Genomic DNA, 11,919 nt, shown 5'->3' on the forward strand with positions numbered 1-11,919 from the left:
GCAATACCATCCTGGACATAGGAGCAGGCAAAGATCTCACGACAGAGGCACCAAAAGCAATCACAGCAAGAGTAAAAATTGACACATGGGATCTAATTAAACTTAGAGCTTCTGCACAGCAAAAGAAACTATCAACAGAGTAAACAGACAACCTACAAAGTGGGAGAAAATTTTTGCAACACTATTCATCTAACAGAGGTCTGATATCCAGCATCTATAAAAAGCCTAAACAAATGCACAAGAGAAAAACAAACAACCCCATTAATAAGGGGGCAAATGACATGAACAGACACTTCTCAAAAGAAGACATACATGTAGCCAAGAAGTATATGAAAAACAGCTCAATATCACTGATCATTAGAGAAATGCAAATCAAAACCACAATGAGATACCATCCCATAACAGTCAGAATGGCTGTTACTAAAAACAAAAAATAGCAGATGCTGGCGAGGTTGCCAAGAAAAGGAAACCCATATACACGGTTGGCGGGAGTGTACATTAGCTCAACCATTGTGGAAAGCAGTATCGCAATTCCTCAAAGAGCTAAAAGCAGAACTACCATTTGACCCAGCAATCCCATTACTGGGTATAGAGCCAGAGGAATATAAAGCATTCTACCATAAAGACACATGCACCTGGACTATTCACTGCAGCACTGTTCACAAGAGCAAAAACGTGGAATCAACATAAATGCCCATCAATGACAGACTGGATACGGAAAATGTGGTGCATATACACCATGGAATATTATGCAGCCATAAAGAAGAACAAGGCCGTGTCTTTTGTGGGAACAGGCATGGAGCTGGAGGCTATAAGCTCAGCAAACTAACGCAGGAACAGAAAAGCAAATCCCACATGTTCTCACTTAGAATTGGGAGCTAAATGATAAGAACTTATGAACACAAAGAAGGAAACAACAGACACTGGGGTCTCCTTAAGGGGGAGGGTGGGATGACGGAGAGGAGCAGAAAAGAGATAACTCTTGGATAGTGAGTTCAATACCTGGGTGATGTAGTCATGTGTGCAACGAACCCCCGTGACACGTGTTTATCTATGTAACAAACCTTCACATGTACCCCCAAACATAAAAGTTTTAAAAAATATTACAGTGCAAGTCTATTGATGATCAATTCTTTCAACTTCTGTATGTCTAAACACCTACTATTTTAACTTCATTTGAAAAGATATTCATTGAGTATAGACTTAAGAGTTGACATTTATTTTTATTTCACGATTTTAAAGATGGTGTGCCACATGACTTCTGACTTGCATATTGCTAATGAGAAATGTGCTGTCATTCTTCTCTTTGGACATCTAAATGTTTCTTATGGTTTTCTTCTGATTTTCTAGTTACTTAGGAGAAAGGGTAAATCTCTGGGCGAGCAGATAGGTAAAATGTCAGGAATGCACACCATGGATTCTCTGTGCATAGCACCTTGGACATACTTTAGATTATGCGTGGCAACGTGGAGGCCTCCTGAAAGCACAGGGCTCAGTGAAAAGAAAATTAAGAAATCCGGTGGATACTTGTATTTCCAGCCATGATGGATTAACAGGAACCGGACTTACCGTCTCGCCTAAATACCTATAAACCAAAAAAATTATAAGGCTTAACGTCATGGCACCACCTGCATACGGGACAGTGATCCCTGAGAGAAAGGGAACCTGACCAGGTGAGCCCTCTGATCGCCCAATTCCACCAACTTCTTGCCCGGATAGAGTTTGCAGGCTGCAGCACAGGGGAGCTGAACACAACAGAGCCCGGTGGACCGTCTGAGTGAAGGAGACAGAGTTGAGAGCTCAAGAGGTCCATAGGACCAGAATTTGCCGGGAGTAATGGAGAGAAGACAGCTGCACAGAGAGGCAGCTCTGGAGACCCTTCAGAGCTTGCCCTTCTGGATGCAGCGTATCAGAAACGGGGAGTGGTGATCGATGACTCCCAGTTTCTGGAGTGAGTGGTTGTGTGGATAATGGCGCCATTTACTGAGACTGTGAAGATGGGTTGGGGGGGGGGGGAACAGGAGCGATGGGGATGTGTGAGTGTATGGGAGGAGTGAGTATACCAAGTGACCAGTTTTGGACAGGCAAACCATGAAGAGCCCTTGAGACTTCCAAGTGGAGATGCCACGTAGGTGGGTGAATGTATGTACTTGGACCTCAAAAGTGAAGTTCAGACTGGGGTTGTAGATTTTTTGGAGTGATTAGCACGTAGCACTTTCTGAAGGCTTTCGTTTGTAGGGTGTGTTCCTCTCCCGCAGAGGATATGTTACAGGGGAAGGGCTAAAGAGGCACAAGCAGCTGACAGGAGAGATTGATATATAACAGCTGGAGAAAACCACAGAGCCAGGCAGAATGGATACTGGTCAGCGGAGAGTAAAAGCTGCTGTCCTAGCAATACCTTCCATTCATACACAGGGGTCCTGGTGAGGCTGACATAAAAACAAATATAAAAATCTACTACGAATTTTACAAACAGTCCAGGTTCGACTGCAGATGAGACCACAGCATTTTCTGCCTCAAAAGACATCCAAGTGGAGATGTCACGTAGGCAGGTGAATGTACTATGCACTTGGACCTCAAAAGTGAAGTTTGAACTGGGCTTGTAGATTGTGGAGTAATTAGCTCAGACACACAGGTGTCTAATTGTCCTGGCGGACACCAGGAGGGTCTCAGCGGCAGCGTGATTGTATCGCTGATAAGGAAGAGGCCTGACAATCTGAGTAGAGAGTGGACCCGGTGGAGCAATTCTCATACCTGGATGGACCCACATAGAGCCGCAGAGGCTGGGGGCGAGGCGGGGGGAGGCTCTGTCTCCCTGTGTCCTGAATGCGGAGCATGAACTTAGGCCTTCTACAGCACAAACCTTGCTTCTTTGGGACAGATGTTGGGGTGGGGGAGGCCTGTCACTCAGACGGAGGAGGCGGTGCCTCTGTCCCCAGGCCAGCAGGAGCAGGAGGTGGACTTTGGAGTCCGGAAGACCCAGGTTCAAATTTTGCATTTTCTGTTTCCTGGCTCTGTGGTCTAGTTCATGCAATGTGTCTGTGCCTCAGCTTCCTGACACGCCAAATGGGGATGCTGACATCCACTTCCCAGCGCTGCTGTGAGAGGAAGAAAAGCCCCAGCACAGATCCCTCTGTGACATACAAGCTGCATAAAGGGTAGCTGAGGAAGCAGATGTTCCCAGTATGTCTGGGGGCCAGAGAGTTGGCTAGTGGAGAAGCACACAAAGCGAAGTGCCATCCTCTGGCCATGTCCATTTCGTAGCCCCGCAGGTTGAGGATTTCCACTTGTTGCAGTTAGAGACCCAGCTTATTAATTGTGAGACCTCACTAATTGTGACCTAAGGGGTCTTGCCGGGGAAACGGGGCATAGTGTATCCCAGACCAGGCTGGAGGAGTTTGGGTGAAAGGGCAGGGCAGGACAGAGAAGCATTGTGCAAAAGTGGGGGGACTGAGAAGAGATGATTGGGTGGGTCGAGCTGCACTGCAGGGTATGAGTGTGCGCGCCCGCGGTAGGAGGAGGAGGAGGAGGAGAGGTGAAGTGGATCTGGCGGGAAGAGCCCCCCGCACCCTACCTTCGACCCCACCGCCCACCCACCCGCGGAATCGCATGCGCACTGGAGACCTGGAGGAAAGGGCTTTTGTTGGGAAAGCGGGCGGGCTGGAGGGGTCCGCGCATGCGCAGGCTACCCAGCCGCGGGGGGTGCACGGAGAAAAGGGGCGGGGTGGTCCGGGCTGCTGTGCTGGCAGCAGTAGGCGAGGGCGCGGCTGCGGGGTTCCTGGTGCTGAGGACGGACGCCATTGGAGTTCCCGAGAAGGTAAGGATCCAGCCCCAGACAGGACCGGGAGAGGGCGAGTGGAACCCGACACGCTGCGCCCTCCCTCCGCCTCCGGATCTGAACAAAGCCCAAGCACTCAGAACCGGAACCCCATTAGACCCAAGGTCTAGATAGGAGCCCCCATCACCATCAGACCCAGGCGCCCCGATCTGAGCCCTACTGAAACCGGAGCCCAGGATCCTCACCCCTTTAGCAGACCCGTGTGCTCCGAGCTGAGCTCCCTTGGACCTGAGGCCCCACCCCCACCCCAACCACTCCTAGATTACTCGAACCGAGCTGACCGCTTGCCCCCTTCCTGGAGTGCCCAGTCCTCGCGTTTGAGATCTGCAGCGCTCCGATTGGAGCCTCACCTAGGTCTGAGGCCCCCACTCCATCCGCCTCTAGTGCTCGAGTCTGAGCCCCACCTAGGCCCCCCGCCCGGACCTAGCCAAAGGTCCCTGGGGTTCTGTTTCGCAGAGCTTGCGGCTTGCCACTGTCCCTGTTGTCTGAGCTCTCCCATCTGCTCCCCCTTCATCCCGGTCCCCTTCTCTGGCCCGTAAATCCAAACCCTTTGTTTCTCTCTTCCCCAATGCATTCCCTTTGGGACTCTTCGGACCCCAGCCCTCCAGAACACCCCCTCGTCAAATCTAGCCGCTGGGATGGCGAGCCTGCCCATCCTAAACTCCGCTTTCAGTGCGGCGCCTCCTGCGACCTCCTCTGTCCCTTTCCTTGGGCTCTGTCCCTGACCAGGTCTACCCCATCAGAAAGCCAAACCGTCTCCCCCCCGCTCCTCCTCCCCCCCCCCGCCCCCTACTGCCTAATATTGCCTAGTAACCTGATGATTGTCGCCCCTCACCTCCCGGGAGATCCCGCCTCCCATTGGATCCCGCCCCCTCCCCCTGCAGCTGCTTCACCCTCCCTCTCAGGCTGAGCTCTCATCTCCCTGGGACCCGCAGCATGGCTGAGGGAAGCTTCAGCGTGCAATCGGAAAGCTACAGTGTTGAAGACATGGATGAGGGTAGCGACGAAGTCGGGGAGGAAGAGATGGTTGAAGGCAACGACTATGAAGAATTCGGTGCGTTTGGTGGCTATGGCACCCTCACCAGCTTTGACATCCATATCCTCAGAGCCTTCGGAAGCTTGGGTCCAGGCCTTCGCATCTTATCGGTGAGGCCCCTTCCTGGACACCTGCTGGCCTGGGCCTTTCCCCTGTGAATGGGGGAGGGAGGAGGGGGGAGCCAGGAGGGTTGTGTGGGAAAGGACTGCCCAGCTTCCCAAGCCTTCCCTCCCCTGCTCGGAAGAAGAAGATTTGGGAAGGTCTTGGGGTGTTCAGGGCTGACTGCTGGGAAGAGGCTGGCCAGCACAGGGAAGCTAACACAAGTATGTCGTCGAGTGGCCTGCCTTCCCCAACCCCTCTCTCTGGCCTTGCAGAATGAGCCCTGGGAACTGGAAAACCCTGTGCTGGCCCAGACCCTGGTGGAGGCATTGCAGCTGGATCCGGAAACACTTGCCAATGAGACGGCCGCCCGTGCTGCCAACGTAGCCCGCGCCGCCGCCTCCAACCGTGCGGCTCGGGCCGCTGCCGCCGCTGCCCGTACCGCCTTCAGTCAGGTGGTCGCTAGCCACCGGGTGGCCACGCCGCAGGTCTCAGGAGAGGATACCCAGCCCACGACCTACGCCGCCGAGGCTCAGGGGCCCACCCCTGAGCCACCCCTTGCTTCTCCGCAGACCTCCCAGATGTTAGTCACCAGTAAGATGGCTGCCCCCGAGGCTCCGGCAACCTCCGCACAGTCCCAGACAGGCTCCCCGGCCCAGGAGGCTGCTACTGAGGGCCCTAGTAGCGCCTGTGCTTTCTCTCAGGCTCCGTGTGCCAGGGAGGTGGACGCCAACCGGCCCAGCACAGCCTTCCTGGGCCAGAATGATGTCTTCGATTTCACTCAGCCGGCAGGTGTCAGTGGCATGGCCTTCCCGCGCCCCAAGAGACCTGCCCCAGCCCAAGAGGCTGCCACAGAGGGCCCCAGTGCTGCCTCTGGTGTGCCCCAGACGGGACCTGGCAGGGAGGTGGCAGCCACCCGGCCCAAGACCACCAAGTCGGGGAAGGCGCTGGCCAAGACTCGGTGGGTGGAGCCTCAGAATGTTGTGGCAGCAGCTGCTGCCAAGGCCAAGATGGCCACGAGCATCCCTGAGCCGGAGGGTGCAGCTGCTGCCACTGCTCAGCACAGTGCTGAGCCCTGGGCCAGGATGGGAGGCAAGAGGACCAAGAAGGTGAGATCCCCCTGCCCCCTGCCACCTCCACACCCCCTTGCTCCTGTCCTTTCCTTCTCCTCCCTTTCCTGCTCCTCTCCTCCCTCTCCTCTCCCCCTTCTTCCTCTCTTCTCCTCTTTCCCCTCCTTCTCTCCTCACCTCCCCTCTCCTCCCCTCCTCTCCTCTCAGCTAGTCCATGTTTCTCCAACACAAGTTTGCTGAGCATGTTTTCACTCCACGTAGTCCCTACCCTCAGGACTGGTGGGAGAAGAGGCTGGCTCAGTGCCTGGCACTTAGTAAGCACGCAGCACATGCCAGCCGCTGCTGGTACTGCTCTCATTTCCAAGAGCCTGCTACGGGTGAGGTGCGTGCCGGGTGCTTTGGCACGGGGAGCCTGGTAGCCCTGGGTCTCTCCTCTCTCAAATGATACAGTCCAAGCACCTGGATGATGAGTATGAGAGCAGCGAGGAGGAGAGAGAGACTCCCGCGGTCCCACCCACCTGGAGAGCATCACAGCCCTCATTGACGGTGCGGGCTCAGTTGGCCCCTCGGCCCCCGATGGCCCCGAGGTCCCAGATACCCTCAAGGCACGTACTGTGCCTGCCCCCCCGCAACGTGACCCTTCTGCAGGAGAGGGTAAGAAGCCCACCCTCCCCCATCTCCTTCCTCTCCTCCCTTGTGGGCCACGTCTCTGCTGTCACCCATGCCTTGACCTCCCCGCATGTTCCTCCTTCTCCAGGCAAATAAGTTGGTGAAATACCTGATGATTAAGGACTACAAGAAGATCCCCATCAAGCGCGCAGGTAGGCAGCCTGTGCCCCCTTCACCATCCCCTAGTCTGTGGGCATCCCTTTGCTTGCGTGCCACGGCTGGTCCCTCCATAGCCACAGGACGGGGTCCTGGCTGCGTCACCCTCGGCAGAGCTGACCAAGGGGCTACAGCTCTATGACCCCTGCTCAGCCCAGGTGCTTTCTCCAACTCTTCCCCCTCCTGCAGACATGCTGAAGGATGTCATCAGAGAATATGATGAACATTTCCCTGAGATCATTGAACGAGCAACGTACACCCTGGAAAAGGTGGGTGCAGGATGGGAGCAGCTCTGTGGGGGAAGAGCGGGCATGGGGGTGCGGTGACCCTGCAGCCCCTCAAGGCCCAGTCTCTGGAGCCATCTCTCACCTCTCCGACTCTGAGCTTCCACTGCACTGGCAGTTTGACTCGTGCTTCCTGCCCTCGGCTTCTCTCTCTCATGCTCTCTGAGTGTCTCGCCGTCTGGCCAGGTGGGTCTCATCGCCTCTGCCAGCGTCAGCTCCCACAGCGAAGGTCTTCCGTGTGCTGTCTTCTTCTGCCCTCGCTCACGAGTTTGGATTCCTTGCTGAGGAGCAGTTCTAACCCGGAATCACTGTCTGCCGGCAGGATGCCCAGCATGGGGTTTGGATCTCACACTCTGTTTTCTCCCCCACGTAGAAGTTTGGGATCCACCTGAAGGAGATCGACAAGGAAGAACACCTGTATATTCTTGTCTGCACACGGGACTCCTCAGCTCGCCTCCTTGGAAAGTAAGAAAGGGAAAGCGGGTCGTGGCCTTCCTCGGTGGTGTCCCTTCCCTGCCCACACCCCTTCAGTGAAGCAGGAAGACGGGGCTTGAGTGCGGCGCACCGCTCCCACACACAGCGAGGGCTGCCTGGTGACTGCTGGATGAAAGGAATGATAGCCTGGGGTGAGGCCTTGCTGCCATCAGTTCTCCCCAAGCTGCTGCCGGGCTTTATCCCCAAAGCTTCGGAGGAAAGTGCCTCTTCCTCCTGCCTGCCTGGCCTGGGCCTGGCAGAGCTGGCCTAGGGGAGAGCTGCCTCTTCAGTGTAGGTGCTGATGTGGAAGGGGCAGGAAAGGTCTGGAGCCATCTCTGGGCACACGTTTGCCATTTGCAGAGCTTCGGCTCCCTGCCTCGCCCTGTCCTCTGCAGAACCCTGTCAGGGAAGTGTTAGTACCCATGTTTTATAGAGGAGGCGATTAAGTCTCAGGCGGAGGTGCGAATGGTCTGTCAGCAGCTAGTGAACTGTGCCTGTCCTGGGAAGAGTTCCCCTCAAGCTGGGAAACCTGAGAGAGGCTAGTTGGGAGAGCCTGGTGGTGTCTCTCAGGCAAATAGCTGCTAAACAGGATTTCTCTTTCCACACCTTTAGAACCAAGGACACTCCCAGGCTGAGTCTCCTCTTGGTGATTCTGGGCGTCATCTTCATGAATGGCAACCGTGCCAGCGAGGGTGAGTGGCTGGACCTGCAACTGGGGGGCTGCCCATAGTCTCATCTTCTGGGTGCCAAACTCTCGTACCTCCTCTCCCCTCGCAGCTGTCCTCTGGGAGGCACTACGCAAGATGGGACTGCGCCCTGGGTATGATTGGCCTCTCCAGCTCCTCCCCTCGGTGCTATCCTCTGGCCAAAGAGGTCCTGGGATTGCAATAGCCTGGTGGTCTGGCGCAAGGGCGTGGGGTGCCCTGGGCTCGGTAGAGAGCAAAGGATCTCACCAGGGCGGATGGGGAAGCGGTGCTGGACGCTGCTCAGCCCTCTCTCTGCTCTGTGGCCCCAGATGACATCTAAGAGAGACAGTCAGAGTCAGGGATTCCATCAAATCCCTACCTGGGGCGTCCCTGACCAACAGTCCTCTGGCCTCTGCTGCATGCCCAGGCCTCCACAGCGACTCCCCGGGGGCTGGGAAGTCATAGTCATGCTAGGGAGGGCCCCTGCCACCGTCTCTGCTCATGGATTCCTTTCCTTGCCCTCAGGGTGAGGCACCCATTCCTCGGCGATCTGAGGAAGCTCATCACAGATGACTTTGTGAAGCAGAAGTAAGTATCACCTGAGCTAACTGCGGCTCTCACTCGAGCATCCTTTGTGTGCTGGTCTGGCTGAGAAAGCAGTTCCCTATCCCAAATCTTCAACTGGAGGGATGGGTGCCTCTGACCTGGGAGTGAGTGGCAGTGGGGGGTATGCGAGTGTGTGGGGAGCCGAAGGCCAGGGCGGTCTTGGGAAAAGGGAGCTCACGTCACCTGAGAACACGGTGTGGGGTGTGAAAACGGCCGCCATCACCTTGAGCACCTGCCCTGTAGACTGACACAAGAGTTCCCCCTGGTTTACACCTAAGGAACCCGGAGCTCAGAGAGGAGACGCCTCTGAGCATGGCTCCCAGCTGGTAAGGGCCTCAGCCCAACTCTCCTGATTTTCAGGCCAGGGGCCACCCTCTCCCCGTCCCTGGAGGACTTGCCAACGCACAGGCGCGCATGCACACCAACAAAGGGTCAGGACTTGAGGAGGATGCCTGGAGCACGCTTCTCCTGGCTGACTGTTTCTTCCTCTCCAGTCGTTTCCTCTGGTGGGCCTCTCCAGGGCTCCGCCGGGGTGTGGCCAAGACCCTCGAGGTGGGGTGTGCTCAGAGCAGGGGGCCTGAAGAATGGCTCCTCTGTTTACAACACACCCAACAGGAAGCTGGGGTCATCGTGATGAGGGGCACAAACTTGTGGCCTCCCTACAGACAAATGCCCTACATGTGGACCCCCTGCACCTCCGCATGGCTTCCGGGGAGGACCAATGGCAAAAGGCTTTGAAGGCCTCACTTTTGCAGGCAGAAGTCCTGGGAGTGGGTTTGGGAATGAGTGAAGGGCTGGAGGGGCAGGACAGTCCTCTTCCAGGAGCTGAGCTGCGGCATCGGGTTGAGGAGGGGCCCCCTGGAACCCATCCGTTCAGCAACAGGTCTGCTTGGCTAGCAGCAAAGTTTACTTTCCTCTCATGCCAAGGTACCTGGAATACAAGAAGATCCCCAACAGCAACCCACCTGAGTATGAATTCCTCTGGGGCCTGCGAGCCCGCCATGAGACCAGCAAGATGAGGGTCCTGAGATTCATCGCCCAGGTAAGGGAGCGCCTCTGTTGGGTGCCCGGCACCGGGGGTGGTGCTCTCCACACCTTGCTTGTTTCTTGGTCGAGGCCTCCTTCCCATTACCCCGTATTCCAGTGAGGGTACCAAACACTCACAGAGGCACCTGAGCACCCTACACAAGGTCACAGATGGGGCAAAATCCCAGGTCTGGCACAGGAGAGTAGGAGCCCCCAATCCCTGTGGTCCTGATTTTTGCCATCATTGCACAAAGCACACGGGAGGGGGTGAGGCGGGCCGCGGGTGCTCAGCCAGTGTGGGGTAGCTCTGTGTCTATGCCTGCCCTTTTCCTCCTCAGAATCAGAACCGAGACCCCCGGGAATGGAAGGCTCATTTCTTGGAGGCTGTGGATGATGCTTTCAAGACAATGGATGTGGATATGGCCGAGGAACATGCCAGGGCCCAGATGAGGGCCCAGATGAATATCGGGGATGAAGCGCTGATTGGACGGTGGAGCTGGGATGACATACAAGTCGAGCTCCTGACCTGGGATGAGGACGGAGATTTTGGCGATGCCTGGGCCAGGATCCCCTTTGCTTTCTGGGCCAGATACCATCAGTACATTCTGAATAGCAACCGTGCCAACAGGAGGGCCACGTGGAGAGCTGGCGTCAGCAGTGGCACCAATGGAGGGGCCAGCACCAGCGTCCTAGATGGCCCCAGCACCAGCTCCACCATCCGGACCAGAAATGCTGCCAGAGCTGGCGCCAGCTTCTTCTCCTGGATCCAGTAAGAGTTTCGGTAGAGAAATGAGACTCTGCAGGAGGGCTGCGGAGGGGGGTGAGATGTCAGAGGGAGGGCCAGGGTGGGGGCGCTGGGGGCAACGGCAACAGCATGGACGGACACTTATTTTGTTACGTACACCCCTCCCTGGTTCGCGTGTGTCCACGGATGTTGTCACTTTGGTTTCTTGTGCTTTTATAGGCACCGTTGACGAACTGCAGCGATCTTACTGGCCAAGCCAGAGCGCCTCCTCTCAGATTCCTTCTCGACACAGCACCCTAGGCGGCTTCTTCCTGTCAGTCGGAGGTGGCATGCAAGATGAAGCTCTCTTTGCTCTTCCTGCTTTCATTTTGTGCTTTTCCTTGTGTTTTCATGTTTTGGGTATCAGTGTTACATTAAAGTTGCAAAATTAATTTGGATGTTTCTTCCTTTACCTGCACACCCATTGCTATACCTGGCCACGCTTGGGCTTGTAGCAAGGAAACTTCTTCAGGCTCTCTGGGGTAGGTGGGCCCCACCTCTGCCAAAAAGGCCCACAGGGACAGGTGGGATGCTGGGAGGTGCGGAGGTTGGTTACGCCTGAGTGCGTGAGCAGGAGTTTGGAGAGGCCCCAGTGCTCATCGTTATGTGATTTTCTACAAACCTTGCTCAGCAGCCCCAGGGACATGGCAAGAGTCGGGGCCACAGCAGGGGCGGGGTGGAAAATTGCAGCTTGGTGCCACTGCCCCTCCCGCCGAGGGACAGGGTCCAAGGCTCTCACCAGGACCCACCTCCCACACCCCCTCCTTGGAGATGATGTTCCGGAACCCTTGGCTCATCATCCACACAGTTCAGGACCCCGTCCTCGGTACAGAGTCTGACGGACAATGAGGTGGGCCCCGCAGTGATGTTCGCAGCCCTCCAGTGGGTAGAAGGAGGGGCCGTGATTGCTGAGGGAGCAGGATGTAATAAAAACAACGCACGGTGCACGCGTACACAGCCCCTTGCCTGTGACGGAACGGCGGCCTGTTTGGAGCTTCGCAGCCCTTCTCCCCCAGCAGCAGGGCTCTCCCAGTGAGGACAACACCAGGCCTACCTAGGTCCTGGTGTGTTCAAGGGCTGGGTGATGTCTGGAGGGGTCTGAGGTAGGGCTGCACATGCTTCAGGTACAAGACAGTGAGGGCAGAGACAGTTTGGTCTCCTGGGAAGGGCTCAGTGGCAGGCAGGGACAGT

General features: G+C 56.1%; 1 protein-coding gene and 1 non-coding gene across 5 annotated transcripts; both read left to right on the top strand.

Annotated features, from left to right (window-relative positions):
- The first annotated feature begins 3,739 nt into the window (after positions 1-3,739).
- MAGED4 (MAGE family member D4) lies at positions 3,740-11,120 on the top strand. Of its 4 annotated transcripts, NM_001272061.2 has the most exons (14): positions 3,740-3,817; positions 4,723-4,984; positions 5,249-6,082; positions 6,494-6,697; positions 6,801-6,864; positions 7,058-7,137; positions 7,526-7,617; positions 8,239-8,318; positions 8,404-8,446; positions 8,838-8,900; positions 9,197-9,244; positions 9,846-9,960; positions 10,283-10,713; positions 10,909-11,120. In NM_001272061.2, exons 2-14 carry the CDS (start codon positions 4,775-4,777, stop codon positions 10,916-10,918), a joined length of 2,274 nt encoding a protein of 757 aa, NP_001258990.1. In that variant the 5' UTR covers positions 3,740-3,817; positions 4,723-4,774; the 3' UTR covers positions 10,919-11,120. The 4 variants fall into 4 exon arrangements, with proteins under 4 accessions (NP_001258990.1, NP_001258992.1, NP_001092270.1 ...); NM_001272063.2 differs by lacking the exon at positions 9,197-9,244 and having other exon boundaries at positions 4,744-4,984; NM_001098800.3 differs by lacking the exon at positions 9,197-9,244 and having other exon boundaries at positions 4,774-4,984; positions 10,283-10,725.
- On the top strand, positions 9,474-9,600 carry SNORA11D (small nucleolar RNA, H/ACA box 11D). The gene has a single exon (NR_003711.1). It is a non-coding gene; the product is annotated as a small nucleolar RNA, H/ACA box 11D (small nucleolar RNA).
- Positions 11,121-11,919: the final 799 nt, after the last annotated feature.

The sequence above is a fragment of the Homo sapiens genome, chromosome X (genome assembly GCF_000001405.40).
Source record: "Homo sapiens chromosome X, GRCh38.p14 Primary Assembly".
NCBI lineage: Eukaryota > Metazoa > Chordata > Mammalia > Primates > Hominidae > Homo > Homo sapiens.